Here is an 18883-nt window from a genome sequence, read left to right on the forward strand (position 1 = left end):
TATACTACTAAGTAGTATTTTCTAAACATCTGTTTCCCAAACCTGTAGTCTTAATTAAGCAGCTTCTTGACAGCTCAGACATAAATTCTCAGGTATCTAGTGCCCAGTTGCCAACTGAGTGGTTATAGTTGTTCAACACAAGCTTTGAAAAGTGATGATTAAGATTGGACACTAGGAAAGAAGTAGAAAATACTTCCAGGTCCATAAAGTAATTATTGCACAAAATTCATGCATCAAAGTTAAGCACTTTATTGGCAGAAGAGTTCCAGCATTTTCCTCCTTCATGGCCTATGTTTTTTTTGAGACATGCTCTCACTCTATTGTCTAGGCTGGAGTACAGTGGCACAATCTTGTCTTAAAGTCATATCGTTCTTAAGATCTCAACCTCCACCTCCCAGGCTCAAGCAATCCTCCCACCTCAGCCTCCCTAGTAGCTGGGACTACAGGTGCATATAACCATGCCTGGCTAATTTTTGTATTTGTAGAGAGAAGGTTTTGCCGTGTCACCCAGGCTAGTCTTGAACTCCTGGGCCGCAGCAACCTGCCTGTCTCAGCCTCCCAAAGTGCTGGAATTACAAGCTTGAGCCACTATGCCTGGCCCTAATAACTCTTAGTTTGTTCAACAAATATTTATTGAATATCTTGCTCTACTCAAGAATTTTGGAGTAAAAACTCAAGGACTTGATTAGCTAATTTTCGGTTTTTGCATGTTAGCAGTAGCAGCTGAGTTACAGGAAAGTTGTTAGGGTTGGCCAAGGTAAAGAAAAGAGATAAATGAACCCCTGAGAAAGCTCGGGGGTACCCCAGTATACTGCAGCCCCCTACATTATTTTATTATGAAGTGCTGTAGTTGATGTTCATAATCATAAAACTTTACCTCCAATAGGGAGGGCCCTTGAGTGTTATCTAATTTAGTTTTCTTGTTTTGCAATAGATAAACTGACCCAGAAACATTGAGAACACATTAAATCATGTTCTATAGGTTGTTTGTGGGAAGTTAGCCAAGTGTATATTGCCTTTTAGAAAGCTTTCCATGCAAGCTAGTTGTAAAGTTTGGTACCTAAAAATTTTAGCTACTATTTTTCCTGCCTCTTCATTATGTAAAACACTTAATGATATGAAATAAATGAGCATTATCTCACGTAGATCTCTCCTCAGAGATTAAAGCCTATCACAATAAATATAATTACAATGAAAATATTTAAGAAAAATATAATCACGATTTAGCCATGTGACCTTGGGACTCTACTACCTGTTCTATGAAATGATAATGATAATTGTCCCTCCCTGTATGATGACTAGTTTTTTAAAAATTTTGGTAAAATACATAAAACACAAAGTATCATCTTAGTCATTTTTAAGTGTGCAATTCAGTAGTGTTAAGTACATTCACATTGTGTAACCATCACCACTGTCCACTTCTAGAAATTTGTTATCTTTTCAAACTGAAACTCCATACCCATTAAGCAAATTAATATCTTCTGTCTTTATGAATTTGACTATTTTAGGTACCTCATAAAGTGAAATACAGTGTTTGTGTGTGTGTGTGTGTGTGTGTGTGTGTGTGTGTGTGAGTGTGTGAGACTTCTGGCTCATTTCATTTAGCAAAATGTCTTCATTTCTTTTGAGTGTATATTCAGAAGTTGAATTGCTGGATCATATGATAATTCTATTTTTAGGTTTTTCAGGAACTGCTATACCATTTTTCATAGCAGCTATACCATTTTGCCTTCCTGCCAGCAGTATACAAGAGTTCCTATTTCTCTGCATTCTTTCCAGTGCTTTCTGTTTTTTTTCTTTTCCTCTTAATAGTAGCCATCCTACTGGATGTTAGGTGGTATCTCTTTGTGGGTTTGATTTGCATTTCCCTAATGATTAGTGAGTCGAACGTCTTTTCATGAGTTCATTGGCCATTTATCTTTTATCATGGCTTACTTTTGATATAACTAGTTTAGATAGAATGACTAGATTTTCACATATAATCACATATGTGAAAGTCCTGAGAATTATAATGTCTTATATAAGTGAAAGTAGTGACTATGGCTGTGTTAACATTTTTTCTGAAGTTAATAAAACTCCACTGAACAGTTAAAAGAGGCACAATTCGAGTTCTGTATAGGAAGTTATTTGTACAGTTGGAATTCGTTGTGCTCAAGATTTAAGACAATTTTGGAATACATGTGTATGTGGCTAGCATAAGGCCATAGCAGACAATACTCATGACATTGAGATAAGTAACCAAAAAGAGAACAAAATTGATTACATAAAAGGAAAAACTTCTGTATGACAAAATATTTTATAAGCCTTATTAAAAGACAGACTTGGAAATGCTGTTTAGCAGTGAATTTTAATAGTTACTGTCAGAATAATTTAAATGCTGAAAGTTTTATTTCTGATCTCATCTACTTTGTGGAAATGTACATCTAGGTGAACACATTTAAAAATTTTCGTATGTATTTGTCATATAAAATTCTTTTAGCATAAGGAAATATGTAAAAAATTACATTAGTTTCAAAAATATCTTTTTTAGATGGAAGAATATATCTTTGTTGGGACAAAATAATGCATCTCTTCAAGAATTATGGCCATAAGGAACATGTTCTTAAAGTAGATTGTTACCAATGGTAAAAAAATATTTACTAAAATGGTTACAAATGCAATGTTGATATTAGAAGTTTATGCAGTGTCATTATAAGTGAGTAGCCTAACTTCAAATGTTTTATTTTGTTCAGTCAGGTCAATTCAGTGAAGATATGATACCCACAGTGGGCTTCAACATGAGGAAGGTAACTAAAGGTAACGTCACAATAAAGGTAAGTTATTTCTTGCCGTACGCAATTTAAATTGTTAGCACAGACCCCTAGAAATTTTTCTGTTAAATTTCTGTGTTTTTACTGAAAATTTGCAGTTTTTCAGTAATGAATGTGCATGTTTCAAAAGAATAGGTTTTTTTGTTGTTGTTTTTTTGTTTTTTTTTTGGAAACAGAGTTTTGCTCTTTCACCCAGGCTGGAGTGCAGTGTCGCGATCTCCACTCACTGCAACCTCTACCTCCCGGTTCAAGTGATTCTCCTGCCTCAGCCTCCAAAATAGCTAAGATGACAGGCTTGTGCCACCACACCCAGCTAATTTTTTGTACTTTTAGTAGAGACAGGGTTTCACCATGTTGGTTAGGCTCGTCTCAACTCCTAACCTCAAATGATCTGCCTGCTACGGCCTCCCCAAAGTGCTGGGATTCCAGGCGTGAGCCACCACGCCTGGCCAAGAATAGATTTTTAATCTATTTTGTTTTTCAAAAATCAAATCTATGGCCTGAGCCTTAATGTCCATTTTGCCCAATTATTGTGGTTTACAGAAGCTGTTCACTTTCTCTGTGGCTCATCTAATGAAGTTCCAGATTTAGTCAAGTGCAGGTTTCTTTATGCTTGTTACCAGTGCTTTAGTTAAACCGGAAGCCTCTTGAAGATTAATACTGTGACTTGAGACTTTAATGTAGCCCAGTGTCTAGTGTGATGCCCTACGGAGTAGACACAATAATAAAATGATTATGGATGTGGCTTTCATGTGCATAAAATAATTTTATTTTATTTTATTTTTTTGAGATGGAGTTTCACTCTTGTTGCCCAGGCTTGGAGTGCAATGGTGTGATCTCGGCTCACTGCAACCTCCGACTCCCAGGTTCAAGTGGTTCTCCTGCCTCAGCCTCCCGAGTATATTACAGGCACCTGCCACCACACCTGGCTAATTTTTTGTATTTTTAGTAGAGATGAGGTTTCACTGTGTTGGCCAGGCTGGTCTCGAACTCCTGACCCCAAGTGATCCACCCGCCTCGGCCTCCCAAAGTGCTGGGATTATAGGTGTGAGCCACCATGCCTGACCAAAATAATTTTATACAAGAAAAACACCTATGTGGAAATGTTGGCTACTTATTTACAGGATAATTTCAAAAGGTTAGGCATTAATGTAGAACAAATCAGACGATTAAGACTTAATAGATTCTGAATTGTTGTTTTCTGTCTTGGCATTCAAATCTGGATGGTGCATGGTCCTGTAGCTTTTAAATTGTTATCATAAAGACATATGTTTTCAATAATAGAAGTATATTAGTTAACAGGCAAACTATTGCACATAAACCAAATCTTTGCTTAAGCAAAATTTTAGATGTATTGTAAATGTATTAAATACGGACTTCAAGTTTAGAAGTGGCCCCAAGAATTCCCATATTAAGAGCTTGTTTGAGGTCAAGTCTTTCAGGAGCACTTTGCCTCTAACATTGTAGAAATAAATATATCTTCCCGATCTTTCTTTTTTTCTGTTACTTCCTCTTGCAATCATTTAATTAAAATATCTTTATTAAGAATTGCCTTGTTTTGATTTAAAGATCTGGGACATAGGAGGACAACCCCGATTTCGAAGCATGTGGGAGCGGTATTGCAGAGGAGTCAATGCTATTGTGTAAGTGGTTTTTTTTTGTTTGTTTGCTTTTAAATCAATGTAGGCATCAAAGAAGAAAGTTTATTTTAGTATTTCCAGAGGCTCAATTTTTATCTCAGGCAGTGAAAATCTTTCTTAGCTAATATCCTAGTGTAATTCCCAACATGGGATTTAAAAAAAATTAATCATAGAATAAGATCTTTATGTTTTTTGTTTATGGAGCTAAGAGCTAAGGGGTGTACATGTTTTACTATCATGTATTAGTCTCTAAAAACAGTCTAGTTAAAAAGTATTAAAGGGTGCTGAGCCTTTTCTTATGACATAGTTTATTTTGGTTAATAATTTCAATAATGTAAATCTTACAAAAATTAAAAATCAATAATACTAGTTGTCATCATCAAGGCATACAGAGAAGGTATGTTGAGATCACTTCATTTTTTTAAGTTACATGATAGATGCTGCAGATCGTGAAAAGATAGAAGCTTCCCGAAATGAGCTACATAATCTTCTAGATAAACCACAGTTACAAGGAATTCCAGTAAGTATGGAATACTTGTTATTTTACATTGTAATTATATAATGATATTAATTATGGTAATTATGCAGTGATATTAATTATGTTTGAAATCAGTAACATGTCTTCATTTTTAAAATCTGGAAAACTTGCTTACCATGTATCTGCCATATACTGGGCATTGTGCTAAATATGAATCTCATAACCACGTATCTACTAAACTACTATGCAGCAGGAGCAGTGCGTAGGCCCAGGGATATAGTGATGAATGGAAATCAGTAGAAACATACTCCTTGCCATCATGGACCTTATGGTTTAGTGGGAAAGGTAGATACTCTGAAAACACTTGAATAATGCAGCTTTAAGTGCTAGGAAGAAAGGTGCAAGGGGATATGAGAGTTGTAATTTAGAGGGGAGATGTGATCTAGTTTGAGGGAAGAAGGAGGGATTCACGAGGAAGTAATGGTTGAGCTGAGATCCAAGGGATACATACAAATGTGAGGTATATGACAGTTGGAGGGGAAGAGAGTTCCAGGCAAAGGCCTTTGGGTGGGAGGAAGTGGGAAACTGAGAAGAGGCCAGTCTCTAGAATACATTTAGGAATTTGCATTTGGATTAGGAATGCTCAACCAGTAAGTATATAATGCAAATCCAAAAAATTTCCAAAATTCGAAACACTTCTGGTCCCAGGTATTTTGGATAAGGGATAGTAAACCTGTACTAAGAATAGCAGAATGCCGCCGGGCGCGGTGGCTCATGCCTGTAATCCCAGCACTTTGGGAGGCCGAGATGGGCGGATCACCAGGTCAGGAGATCGAGACCATCCTGGCTAACGCGGTGAAACCCCGTCTCTACTACAAAAAATCAGCTGGGCGTGGTGGTGGGCGCCTGTAGTCCCAGCTACGGCAGGAGAATGGCGTGAACCCGGGAGGCAGAGCTTGCAGTGAGCCCAGTGGCTGCTGCACTCCAGCCTGGGTGACAGAGCGAGACTCTGTCTCAAACAAACAAACAAACAAACAAACAAACAAAAAGAATAGCAGAATGTGTATCATAGACTCAGACTATTTTACATAGCAGTTGGCAGCCACATACTGAATTAAGAGCACCTGCATGGTGGGAGTTGAGTGAATACAAGTGTGAGCAATGAAATGAATGAGACAAGCCACCAGTTACACAAATAGGCCTTAACATTGTGGAATGTGTTAACATCTTAACTTTGTGTCTTCACATATCAAGATGATAAACTTCTGTGACTTTTTCTTGCATAAACGTGTGCTCTTAATATCTTTTCTTTTTAAAGGTGCTAGTGCTTGGAAACAAGAGAGATCTTCCTAATGCCTTGGATGAGAAACAGCTAATTGAAAAAATGTATGTCTTGAATATGCTATTTTAATAATTTGCTTCTAAATTACCATATTTTGCCCACTTGTTATGTTATTCCTAATGATCATAGCCATTTTTTTTAGGTAGATAAAAGTTGGCCTATCAGAGAAGTGAATCCTAACATTTTAGGATTGCTACGATGATTTCTTCAGTATAGTAATAAAACTAATGAGTAAAATTGAACAAAGTGATAAGTATGACAGCTGTTCTAAGCACAGACTTATCCTTTTAATTCTTCTCATAGGAATCTGTCTGCTATTCAGGATAGAGAAATTTGCTGCTATTCAATTTCTTGCAAAGAAAAGGATAATATAGGTAAGAAATGACTGGTAATTTTGGAAGAAATGGGTATCATTGGAAGGAATGTCTATGCTTCTTACAGCTTATTGTCTCGATTTCTCATTAAGTGACTTCCTTTTCAGAATACTGTTGCTTTTGCCTGAGAAAAAAGAATAGACATACCTTTTGACAACAAATATAGTGAACCTTCACTTAACATCATTGATGGCTTCTTTGAAATTGCAATGTTATCTCTCTCTCTCTCATACAAATATATATATAATATAATATATGTAATATGTATTATATATTATATGTAATATATATGTAATATGTATTATATATTATATGTAATATATATGTAATATATAATATATATAAATATATATTATATATAACATAAATATATATATATAAATAATATTATATGTATATGTATTTTTTGAGACAGTGTCACTCCTTCACCCAGGCTTGAGTGCAGTGGCGTGATCTCGACTTACTGCAACCTCTGCCTCCTGGGTTAAAGCGATTCTTGTGCCTCAGCCTCCTGAGTAGCTGGGACTACAGACGTGCACCACCACGCCCGGCTAATTTTTGTATTTTCAGTAGCGACAGGGTTTCCATGTTGCCCAAGCTGGTCTTGAACTCCTGACCTCAAATGATCCAACTGCCTCGGCCCCCCAAAGTGTTGGGATTACAGGTGTGAGCCCGGCCTATATGTTATCAAACTCTTGAACAGCAAAAAATTTTTTAAAAAGAGGAAATTGCACTTTTAAGCGAAATGACATACAGTAGGCCCTCATTTCGTTCAGCGTTACAATGTTAATGAGAAAAAAATAGTTTTGTTATACACCATTTCACTTAAAGTGGCAGTTTCCAAGAACCTATCAGTGATGTTAAGTGAGGACTGAATGTATAACATCCTGAATCTTCTTTGTGCTATTTAAAGAAGAAAATGCAATAAAGTCGTGAGGTTAAGATTATGTGATACCAATTTATTGTGTTAATTTTTGCAGAGCTAGTATCCCGCTGTGCTTTATAACAAAATGGCATTTTTGAAATAAGACTTTACAAAAATTAGTCTACAGGCACTACAACAATTTTTCAGTTATTGAACCAGTATATTACTGCAATATGTTAGCACTCTATTGGAATTATATGCCCAAAATACCCTTCATTTACTCAATGCCCATATTAACTTCTTAGAACTGCCATAACAAAGTACCACAAACAAGGTGGCTTAGAACAGCAGAAACTTAAGTCATTCAAAATTCTAGAGGCTGGAAGTCCAAAATCAAGTTGTCAGCAGGGTCGTGTTCTCTCTGAAGGCTGTAGAAGATCCCTCCTTGCCTCTCTCTAGCTTGTGGTGGTTGCCAGCAATCCTTGGCATTCCTTCACTTGTAGATATACCACTCCAGTCTCTGCCTCACATTCATGCTTCTCCCCTGTAGTTGTCTCTGTGTCAGTGTATTATGTTTTCCTAAGGACGCAAGTCACTGGATTAGGTAGGGCCCACCTAATCCAGTATGACCTTATCTTAACTAATAACTTGCAGAGACCCTATTTCCAGTAAAAGTCACATTCTGAGGTTCTGGATGGACATGACTTTTTAGGGGGACATTAAACATTCTAGCATAGTATGGTTACAGAATAAGTATGTATGGCTCAACTTTAGTTTCTTAACTAATTTGGTTTGAGATGATTTGATAAATGAATGTATTGGAACAAAATGTAATAAATAGTACCAGAATAGTATATCTATAAAGTTTATGCTGATATTTTTTCTTTAGCTTTTGTATTCCAGTCTATCCTTCCCTAACTCACCTTCCACCCCGCCTGCAAACATGGCTTTATTTATTTTTATTTTTTTAAGATGGAGTCTCACTCTGTCGCCGTGGCTGGAGTGCAGTGGCAAGATCTTAGCTCACAGCAACCTCCACTTCCCGGGTTCAAGTGATTCTTGTGCCTCAGCCTCCTGAGTAGCTGGGATTACAGTTGCCCACTACCACGCCTGGCTAATTTTTGTATTTTTAGTAGAGACAGGGTTTCATCATGTTGGCCATGCTGGTCTTGAACTCCTGACCTCAGGTGATGCACCTGCCTCAGCCTCCCAAAGTGCTTAGATTGACAGGCATGAGCCACCACGCCCAGCCACAAATATGCTTTATTCAGTTTAAAGTGTGGATAGTCGTTCTGGCTAATTTTGGGCTTCCTTTAAAGACCATCCAGGGCAGTCTCAGCCTTAGTAACAGCGGATAGACACAAATTTTCCTTTATAAATGGATAGAATAATTCACTTGTTACATTGGGAGCATTTATTTGAGAACAGACTCCTCAAGCACTTGTGGTTACTTAGACTTTATTTAAAAGTTTTTTCTCTATGTGGCGGGGAAAACTCTTTTTAAAATTTAAGATATGCCCCATGAGAGCATTTATTTCTACATCAGTGGTTCTCAATGGGGAGCTTTTCCCCCAGGAGACTTGACAATGTCTGGAGACATTTTTGGTTGTCATAACTAGGAGGGTGATGCTGGCATTTAGTGGGTAGATACCAGAAATGTAGCTAAACATACTATAACCTCCACAGCAAAGAATTATCCAGCATAAAATGTCAGTTGTGGCAAGGTTGAGAAATCCTGTTCTACACTAACCGTAATTTTTAGTCCATTGTGCTATTTTGTAAATCCATTACTCCCTACATGTTTTCTGTTTTTCCATTGTTACAAACTAGTTGGATACTTCCTGAAAAAAAAACAAAATCTCTTGGGCTCATATATGGAAGTGCAGTAGAGCTGTGAGGACTTCTTTCGCTATTTGAGGCTGATCTTTATAGTTGGCTAAATAGCTCAGTAGTAATTTTAGAACTCCTGGCTCACTTAAAAGGTTGTCAAGCCCAAGGAATCTGATCCAGTCTAATAAGATCCACTCTAATAAAATTCGAAATAAGTATTTTGTAGATCAGTTCATCTGAGTATCTTATTTCTGTTGTCTTTTTGCCTATTCATAAAGATCCATTTGTCTTTAGGATATGAACTTCTATCAGTATCCACAGAGGCTTTGTGTAATTTTTTAGTGAATTTCTTTTTTTTTTTTTTTGAGATGGAGTTTCACTCTTGTGGCCCAGCTGGAGTGCAGTGGCGCAATTTTGGCTCACTGCAACCTCCGCCTCCTGGGTTCAAGTGATCTCCTGCCTCAGCCTCCCGAGTAGCTGGGATTACAGGCGCCCGCTGCCGTGCTCGGCTAATTTTTGTATTTTTAGTAGAGATGGGGTTTCACCATGTTGGCCAGGCTGGTCTCAAACTGCTGACCTCAGGTGATCACCTGCCTCGGCCTCCCAAAGTGTGGGATTACAGGTGTGAGCCACCGTGCCCGGCCATGAATTTCTTAAATATTTAAATTTGGTTATTTCACTTCAGATTTACCTTTCTCCCATTCAGTTCCAATGAGTGTGGCTTTGCTCGTATTGTGCACTGTTGTCCCCATTTTAAGGTGCAGAGGTGCTTCTTCAGTAGTTGGGTTAAATCATTGCTTCCACAATGGTGAACAGTTCATGTTTGTTATAGCTCAGCCCTGTGGTGTTTCGTTAATGCATGTTAGCTGGGAAACTGGTAGTGAATTTACCCTCATCTTTCAGGCTTGGAGAATAGAGTGGTGCTTCTGATAGACTCTCATGTACCCTTCTGAAGAAGTGAGGACAAGAATTACCCAGCCCCAGATGTCAAAAGGGCATGGTGTGAACCCTGCACCAGCCTTGGCAGTGACAGCCTCCTCTCCCATCCCTGTGCTTTAGTCACATTGTATCACTCACAATCCATCCAGAGCTCCACAATGTTTCATGCCTTTTAACATTCTTTTGCTGTTTTTTTTTTTTAACCTGGAGTTCTGTGGGGTGGCCCCCAAGCCCCGGGAATTACTGCATCTTTTCTGTGTATTATACTTAAAAGCGCCTTGAGGGCAAACAGGGGTTATTCCTTTTTTTTTTTTTTTTTTTTTGCCTTCCTGGCAATTTGCATGCAACACCTGATTGATTGTGTGGGCAACACATAAAAGGTGGCACCAGCCGTCCTATACACAACTTAATTTTTAAATCAGAAAACGCTTCAGTCTCTGATAATTCCTCATATTCTCTTGAAGTTCGGGTAATGGAGTATGGTAATGCAGATGCAGAAAAGCAGCAGAGGTCAGGCATAGTGTGTGCCTTGAATTAGCTGCCTTTTAAATATTGTCTCTGTTTGATGTTTAGTTTTTTAACTTTAATGTCTTCACTTTTCCCCTCTATCTTTAGATATCACACTTCAGTGGCTTATTCAGCATTCAAAATCTAGAAGAAGCTGAAGCATCTCCTGAAGTCTTCCAGTCCTTCTTGGCTATAATCCTAGAATTATTGTCCGTTCCTCTGAAGTAATTCCCAGAATACGGTCCTTCCTAAACCCCAGAAATTGCCTTTTTCAGAGTTTATTTCTCATGTGCACTGCTGAAGATGAATATCCCTAATCCTTCATAAAGAATCAGCTAGAGTTGTCATGATAAAGTCAGCACACACAAAAAGGCTTCTTACACATACCTGTCTTAAACCATGTGTAGAGCTTTAAAAACAGAAAAAAAACCCCATATACTTATGACCATCTTAAATCAAGAAAATTGCATATTTCCATTCTGGTCTTTCTGGGCCAGATTTTTATATTGGTTTTCAGTAAATGTCTATCTATAATATTTCATTATAGAGTCCAGTAGCTTAATACTGACACTGACTTGATACAGCATGAAGTTTCTAGTGCCACACACAGTATTTAGAAAACCTTTAGGCGTGAATGACTCATGTGGGATATATGTAAACATAATGTTTATTTTATCTCACAAATGCATGTGAAATGTATAATTACATCTTAGGAATCCAAAATGGTCTGCAGAGAGTGAGCGGAGGCACCAGATCAATGTTGGTTCTTTGCACTGGTGAGATTCTGCCTGATGAATATTAAAGATATCCTGCTTTCTGAGAACTCTATCACCAGATGGCAGTTGGGATATGGGAGGAACTAAAGCATCCTGTTTTGTATCTGTCCAGATCATTATTTCTGTCTCTTGTTTTTTCTTCCTGGTTCAGGATACTTTTTTAAGGGGTTGAGAATTGAAGATTTTCCAAAAGCGTTCATGAATTTAGAGCATTCCACCCAATATAATAAAACCTGTTAAGAATGTCAGTCTTTGTTCAAACATCTGTTTGTTCTATCTCCAGTCATTAAATCAGTGCTGCTGCATGACACTCTTAACTCCTGACTTTTTATATCCAGTCATAAAGTTGACTTTCAGCACAAAAGATACTTATAAACAAATAAAAAATTTTTATTTTTCTCTCTTACTGATGTAAGCTTTGGCACTCTTTTGACTGGTGCCATTAGACATCTTGATTATTGTGACAACTCTAGACCTGCCTGCTTTATCTAATGTAATCATGCTCAATGTCTACAGGTTGTTTAATAATCAGTCACACAGAGAACTGAGGAACTGATGCTGTTTGTTTGCTTCTATGATACAGAGATGTCTAAAAACTTCAAATGGACATGTTTTGTAGTTTAGCGACTTCCGTATACATAAAGGGACATATTAATACTGGTTCATTTGTAAATTATTATTCATATAGACCACTGTAGTAGATAAAACTCTATGGTACACCTGCTTATGTGTTGCCTCACACTGTGTGTGATTTTGTTTCTTTTGTTAAGCAGCACTTATGTAGACTGCATTTCCAAATGTGTTGAGCACTCAGAGTGTAGTCAACAGTAAGTTCTTTTAATGAATATCAGTTTTAATTTATAGACTGCCATGGCCTTAAAAATATTCTGTACAATATACTGCACTGTGTTGCACAGACACTACTTGCTTTTCTCCATTCATATTTTTATGAGTAGAATCTGGGCTTTTAAATTTCTCTTCTTATTCTTTGAAGCATGTTGCATACTACCCTGGTGGGATGGATGGTTCTGTAAATGAAGGGATATTTAAACTTGCTACTGTTGTTCAACACCATTAATGGTCAGTGTGAACCATTACAAAGAATGTGGCAACTTGCTTGTGCCTAAAAGGAGGAATTGGAACTAGAATGTGTGACTCTGTGGGGACTGCATAGGTTTGTTAATTGACCTATAGCTAAACCTTAATGTGTTTGTGTGTCTATACATTGCTTTCCGCATTTCAAGACATCCAGACGCTATTACCAACATTTTCCTGTGCATTAACCTCTGCATGTGAAAACTTTTAACAGTTACTGAACTATGTAAATATGTGAATTTTTTTATTTAGGTGGATGCATTTTTTGTCTGTTTACTGCTCTTCTCAGCTTTATTCAATAAACTTGCATTTTAAGGGTTGTATTGGCAATTTTAACTTAAAATGTGCATCATGATGGAAGGTGCAGACTTTTTTGGAAGTTTCCGAGAGGAGGGTCTATAGACCATTTGTCAGAAATCAGATCAGCCCTCAAAGAATGGGGTCTGTGGGCTAGTTAAAATAGAAATAAACTTTTAAAATATCCACAGAATTGATATTGTGATTTTTTGGGGGCGGGGGAAATGCTACTACTTGTCAACGGTCACAATACACCAAATTTAGGACTTTAAGTGGCAAGTGCTAGTAAAACATTTTATGTCCCAGTTTTTACAAATCAAACCAAGACCCTGCTAAGCAAATGAAGTTGCAAGACATGCCTATTCACTGACTTCAGTTCAGAATGGAAATATTTTAAGTACCGAACATGCTGGTTTTCCCACAAAGGCACATTTTTAGCATAAAGCTTTTTGCTAGTTTGGTATCATCTGCCCATAAAATAAGTCAATACTTGAGCTATTGGAAAAATAATTGTGTATATTTTTATTTGTTTAGAAAGGTTCAGTTAGCATTTTCTCCATACGCATACTACAATTCTGTACAGCCAACCCTTAGTGGCCAGTTGGATGCATGATTTCGCGTTTATTTCCCTGGAACGTCACGTTGATGTGTTTTTGTCTTTTCACTGCATTACTGGAGCCATGTAGTCAAGCATCAAGTTTCATCCACTTCTCACCATTCTCCTACCAAGGGGGTGAGTGTGTGAGAGTTGAGGGTGAGGATGGGGGAACACGGAGGATATACATTTAGCTTAATTCTAAATGTGTATCTGCTTTTAAAAACTTCTAAACTTATAAAGTTGGTCTTTGATTCTGTCAAGTAAATTGGGTGTTTGAGGAACTAACTGCTTTGTCTGTTTGCTCCATGTAGGATTGAGTTACACTGATACCCTGTTGATTTGGTAATTCCAGCTGCTCCAAGGGTCTGGTGGGTTCAGAACTGGAATGGAAGCTTAAACATAATGTAGTGGGCATCATGCTGTAACATCCAGTTGGCCAAATGCTTTACTCTAAAAATGTGCCACAGTGGGGAAAGCACGATGTTTGATGTTTAAAATGTTTTTGTTATGTTACAGACTTTTAAGGTTATGCCCTCAACTGTGCATAGCAGTGAAGAGACTTGAAAAGGAAGACAGTAAAGCCTTACAGACTTCCCTTAAGTTTGCTGCTCTATAAGTATGCAGCCTGCTGCAGGTGTTTCCTGTTGGTTAGTAAATAACCTCCACACATTGGCTGTTTAAAATTCAGCTATTAATAAAAATGTGTACTTTTGTCATTGCTCCTCTTGGGTGTTCTTAGGGAAACCAAAGCAGGTCATTGTCATGGTAGACAGACTGCAATAGGACTCTCTTAAAAATCTAAGCCACAGCAGTAGTCATTTATTATTCCATTCTATTAACCAGCCCTCTCTTCAGTAAGATAATTCTATTTTGAAATCCCAAGGCATCTGGCATTTAGGTAATGCAGATTTCCCAATAATCAGGAGGGGGAAAAGATACTTTAGCTTCATTTTACTGGGGCTTACAGTAGGGATGTAGGAAAAGAGTTGTTAGCTTACGATGCTAATATAGCTTAATTCTGTGGAGAGTACTGGGTTGGCATTTGGGAGAATGGGTTCTTTCCTTGGCCATTAACTGACTGTGTGACTGGTGAGTTGCAGAACCCCCTCATGGCTCCTTAAGTTTTCCCATCTATAAAATGAACAGGAGAGGATTTCTAACCATAACTTCTGCCACTGACAGGCTGATTCTAGCAGCCTAGAAATTTGCTTGGTGGTTAAAAAGAGATACAAAAACACCGATTTGGCCTAGTGAATATGTTAATATTACATGTTCCTTCAATAGAAGGTAATTCAAAAATACAGAAATATTTACATGTTACAACTTTAAATTTTAGCACAAAAGCTGGAGATTGCAGACATTTTACAGAATGATACAGTAAATTTATTTTGTTTGAAGGAAATTCTGTAAATATACCGGCTTATATTTTGAAAGGCATTTACAAATTTTAGAACATTTTCCCCAGACTGCAGAAAATGTTTGGTATGCACTCCAGAAAAGTGTATATACCTACTACCAATTTGAGGGTAGGTGGTTTAGAGCTAAGGTTTAATCCTTTATAACTGCTGTGTTGCTGGGTTTTTGGGGGTTTTTTTGTTTGTTTGTTTTGAGATGGAGTCTCACTCTGTTGCCCAGGCTGGAGTGCAGTGGCGCCATCTCAGCTCACTGCAAGCTCCGCCTCTCGGGTTCCCGCCATTCTCCTGCCTCAGCCTCCCGAGTAGCTGGGACTGTAGGCGCCCGCCGCCACGCCTGGCTAATTTTTTAATATTTTTAGTAGGGACGGGGTTTCACCATGGTCTCGATCTCCTGACCTTGTGATCCGCCCACCTCAGCTTCCCAGAGTGCTGGGATTACAGGTATGAGCCACCATGCCCGGCCAGCTAGGTTCTGCTAGAATTTATCCAGAGCTTTGGAGAAACCTGGAATGGTTAGAAAATACTACTCTTAAAAGTAAAGGGGCTGGAGGACCAACAAAACCATTGTATCCCCTTTTGGACTTGGGAAGTAGAACATTAACCACTTGCTAATTATAGCATCTCCCTTAACCAATTCTTATCTACAATTGTGACTTACCCTCAGTGTTGTACAATGTGTATCACACAATGTGCTAGCTTGTTTCTGTGGCTTAAGAGAATTCACCATTTCTATCTACTACCCAATAGGTGAATTAGATAACTCTTCCATTTGTATATTTTATTCTGTAAGAAAAATTCAAATTGCTCTTATTTGTCATACTATTAGCTAATTTATAAGCGCTAGCCCTCATTCAAAGAAGGGTTAAGGATTTATAGAATTCCTATATTCTCTGGAAGCATCAGTAACCTAAAGGCTAGAGCATGGTATGGGCATGTGCATGATGAATATTTTTGATGTATAGTTCATATATTTGTTTCAGTGGTTTGGTGTTAGAACTGCTAGAAGGGAATCTCACTATCTTTTCTTCCTTTTTGAGATAGTCTTGCTCTGTCATCAGGCTGGAGTTCAGTGGCGCAATCTCGACTCACTGCAACGTCCGCCTCCTGGGTTCAAGCAATTCTCCTACCTCAGCCTCCCAAGTAGCTGGGACTACGGGCATGTGCCACTATGCCAAGCTGATTTTTGTAGTTTTAGTGCAGATGGGGTTTCACCATGTTGGCCAGGCTAGTCTTGAACTCTGACCTCAAGTGATCCACCCGCCTCAGCCTCCCAAAGTGCTGGGATTACCGGCGTGAGCCACCGCGCCTGGCGACTTGTGCTAACGTTAAACCAAAATTATGGGGGGTCATTGTTTGTGGACTGAGTTTCTGCACTAGGTCCTAGCAGACCAAAGTAGTTACATATATTAAGTGCCACACAGTTACATGGAAACTTTACAGACCAGTTTTTCCTGAAAACAGAAAATCCCAGTCTGTCTGAATCAGAATAATAAGGAAGTCCCTTCTTCTTTAACCCTTAAAAAAAAAGTAACCCGATGTTAACCAATCAGTTATTTTTCATTGTTTTGTTTCCTTGCTCTCATCTTACAAAACCCACTATTCTGCTGTTTCTCATTGGGAGCTTTCATTCTGTTTTGTAGAATGGAGGCTGCCCCATTCATAAGTTATGAATAAACGCCAGTTAGATCTGTAAGTAAATTTGTTGTAATTTTTTTCTGACACTAGGAATTGCCAAATGACCCTTCACACGGGAAGTACTAGTTTTTGTTTTTACCAGTCCCAGTCCCCTATGCCTTTTTAAAAAAGAGATGAAGTCTCACTGTTACCCAGGTAATTGCATTGGCTATTTACAGCCACGATCATAGGAAACGCAGCTTCAAACTACTGGCTCAGGGGATCTTCCTGCCTCAGCCTCTCGAGTATCCTGTATCTTGCTAACAGAGCATGTTGACAAACTTGGATTTGTGCCCATCAAATAAGTTTGAACTGTAATTATATACTTTTTTTTAGGCCTTCAGCTTTGCAAAACCTCTGCTTTTGAAATACTTTTTTTTTTTTGAGACGCAGTCTCACTCTCTTGCCCAGAATGGAGTGTGGTGGCGCTATCTCAGCTCACTGCAACCTCTGCCTCCTGGATTCAAGTGATTCTCGTGCCTCAGCCTCCTGAGTATCTGGGATTACAGACGCCCACCACCACGCCCGGGTAGTTGTATTTTTAGTAGAGATGGGGTTTCATCATTTTGGCCAGGTTGGTCTTGAACTCCGGACCTTAAGTGATCTGCCTGCCTTGGCCTCCCAAAGTTCTGGGATTACAGGTGTGAGCCACCACGCCCAGCCGGGTGCTAGTTTTAAAAGTTTCAGAGTTGAAAAGTATTAATAGGTCTCACTATGTAGCACGGTTGTAAGTACTTTATATATATATATGATGTAATCACAACTGTGATAAACATTGTCCTCATCACTCACCCATTTTATGGATGAGGAAACAAGTCCTAGAAAAGTAACTTCCCAAGGTCACTCTTAGGGCAGAGCTACGATTTGAACACCTGACTTCTGAATGTGAGTTCTTAGTTGTCATCTCTTTGCATTCCCCAGAGTAAAGCCATTTTTACACTGAAAAAGTGCCTCCTTTCCTTTTTTATCAGTCCCTGATGCGCTTGTGAGATTACCGGAAAACCTGTCACAAATCAAACTGTTTATCTTAAAGAGTTGATTTTCAAGACTGGAGTTTTCTGATTGGGTATGGGTGTTGTCCCAATCTTATCAGTACATTTAGCTTAAGGAGAGTCCTAATCGAAAGGACTAGCACAAAATAACCCATTTCTTTCATTTCAGTTTCATTCCAGAAGGAAACACTTTCTGAACCTAGACCCTAATGCCTAGGCTATGCCTTGCAGGGCACTAATGTCAAAACTATTGCTTTTGGGTGGCTTGGAAAGAGCAGAGGGACCTGTCTGCTCAAGGGCCAGCTATTTGAAGTGCAAATTGCCCTAAAGTGTAGTAACTCCCTTTCTGCCTAGAGCCAACAGGCTCTGAGAATTGAGCCCCCAACCTGATTTCTTCCATTATGGCTTGTGGAATAAGCTTTACAGTTTTCTATGAAGATTAAATAAGCACACATGTCAAAGTGTTTTGAAAACCATCAGTTTTACTATGAAAAGCATCTTTCAGGAGTTGGATGGTTTTCTCTGGTTATTAAAAGATTTATTTTTATAAGAGTTTTTCTCTAACATCAAGACAGAAGCTGTCCTCAATGTGGCCTGCAGTTAACCAGGTCAAATTTAAGTTAAAATTTGCAATAAAGTAGCCCCGGAAGGAAACATGCAACATGCAACTGAATATTCACATTCAGTTTGCAAGTTCCAGGAAGGCAGAAGTTCAGGATCAAGGGCTGGAGCTGGGCTGCCAGCACAGTCCCTAGGCATCCTTCACAGAGGGGAAAAAGCAGAAGCTGTGTAGTCTAAAGACCCTGGCTCAAGCTGTCTTCGTAATCTTTTTGCTGCTTGGGCTGCTCTCGATGTCTCAATGTTGGGAAAGAACAAGGCTCAGCCAACAGTAAGGACCTTCCTATGTGCCAGCTACCATGTGCTGTAATCAAGTGTTTTCTTAGTTCCCCTTACACCTCCTCTGTATTTCAGAAAGTCCTCTACCCTGAAAATGTGATGAGAGTGCCACATGACAACTTACCTTCTTATGCACTCCATTGGTCGGCCATTCAGCCAATATCAGATTTGGGGGTCTAGTCAGGTCTTGCTTCCCAAGCTTTTCAGAAACCCTGATGAAACAGGCATAGGGTCTAAACTTAGGGAGGGCAAAACTTACAGCCAACTCCAAATGCAGCAAGCAAAATAAATAAGCGCCTAAACCATTGAATCTTTATGTGAAAGCCATAGCCCTTTAGAGCTAACATTTGCAAT

General features: G+C 38.6%; 1 protein-coding gene across 1 annotated transcript in view, besides 2 other annotated features; it reads left to right on the forward strand.

The window, feature by feature from the left end:
• ARL8B (ARF like GTPase 8B) overlaps positions 1-13141 on the forward strand; it is a 58620-nt gene extending 45479 nt beyond the window's left edge. The window contains exons 2-7 of the mRNA NM_018184.3: positions 2733-2813; positions 4380-4453; positions 4877-4970; positions 6247-6314; positions 6574-6644; positions 10894-13141. Of these exons, the coding sequence (NP_060654.1) occupies positions 2733-2813; positions 4380-4453; positions 4877-4970; positions 6247-6314; positions 6574-6644; positions 10894-10943 (438 nt within the window). The 3' untranslated portion in view covers positions 10944-13141. The remainder of the gene's footprint in view (positions 1-2732; positions 2814-4379; positions 4454-4876; positions 4971-6246; positions 6315-6573; positions 6645-10893) is intronic.
• Positions 14323-14372: an enhancer, noted in NCBI's record as "active region_19378". NCBI's record gives its function as "activates an Ori minimal core promoter by ATAC-STARR-seq in GM12878 lymphoblastoid cells {active_cell/tissue: GM12878}" and the evidence as "EXISTENCE:reporter gene assay evidence [ECO:0000049][PMID:35858748]".
• Positions 18395-18454: an enhancer, noted in NCBI's record as "active region_19379". NCBI's record gives its function as "activates an Ori minimal core promoter by ATAC-STARR-seq in GM12878 lymphoblastoid cells {active_cell/tissue: GM12878}" and the evidence as "EXISTENCE:reporter gene assay evidence [ECO:0000049][PMID:35858748]".

The sequence above is a fragment of the Homo sapiens genome, chromosome 3 (assembly GCF_000001405.40).
Source record: "Homo sapiens chromosome 3, GRCh38.p14 Primary Assembly".
Taxonomy (NCBI): domain Eukaryota; kingdom Metazoa; phylum Chordata; class Mammalia; order Primates; family Hominidae; genus Homo; species Homo sapiens.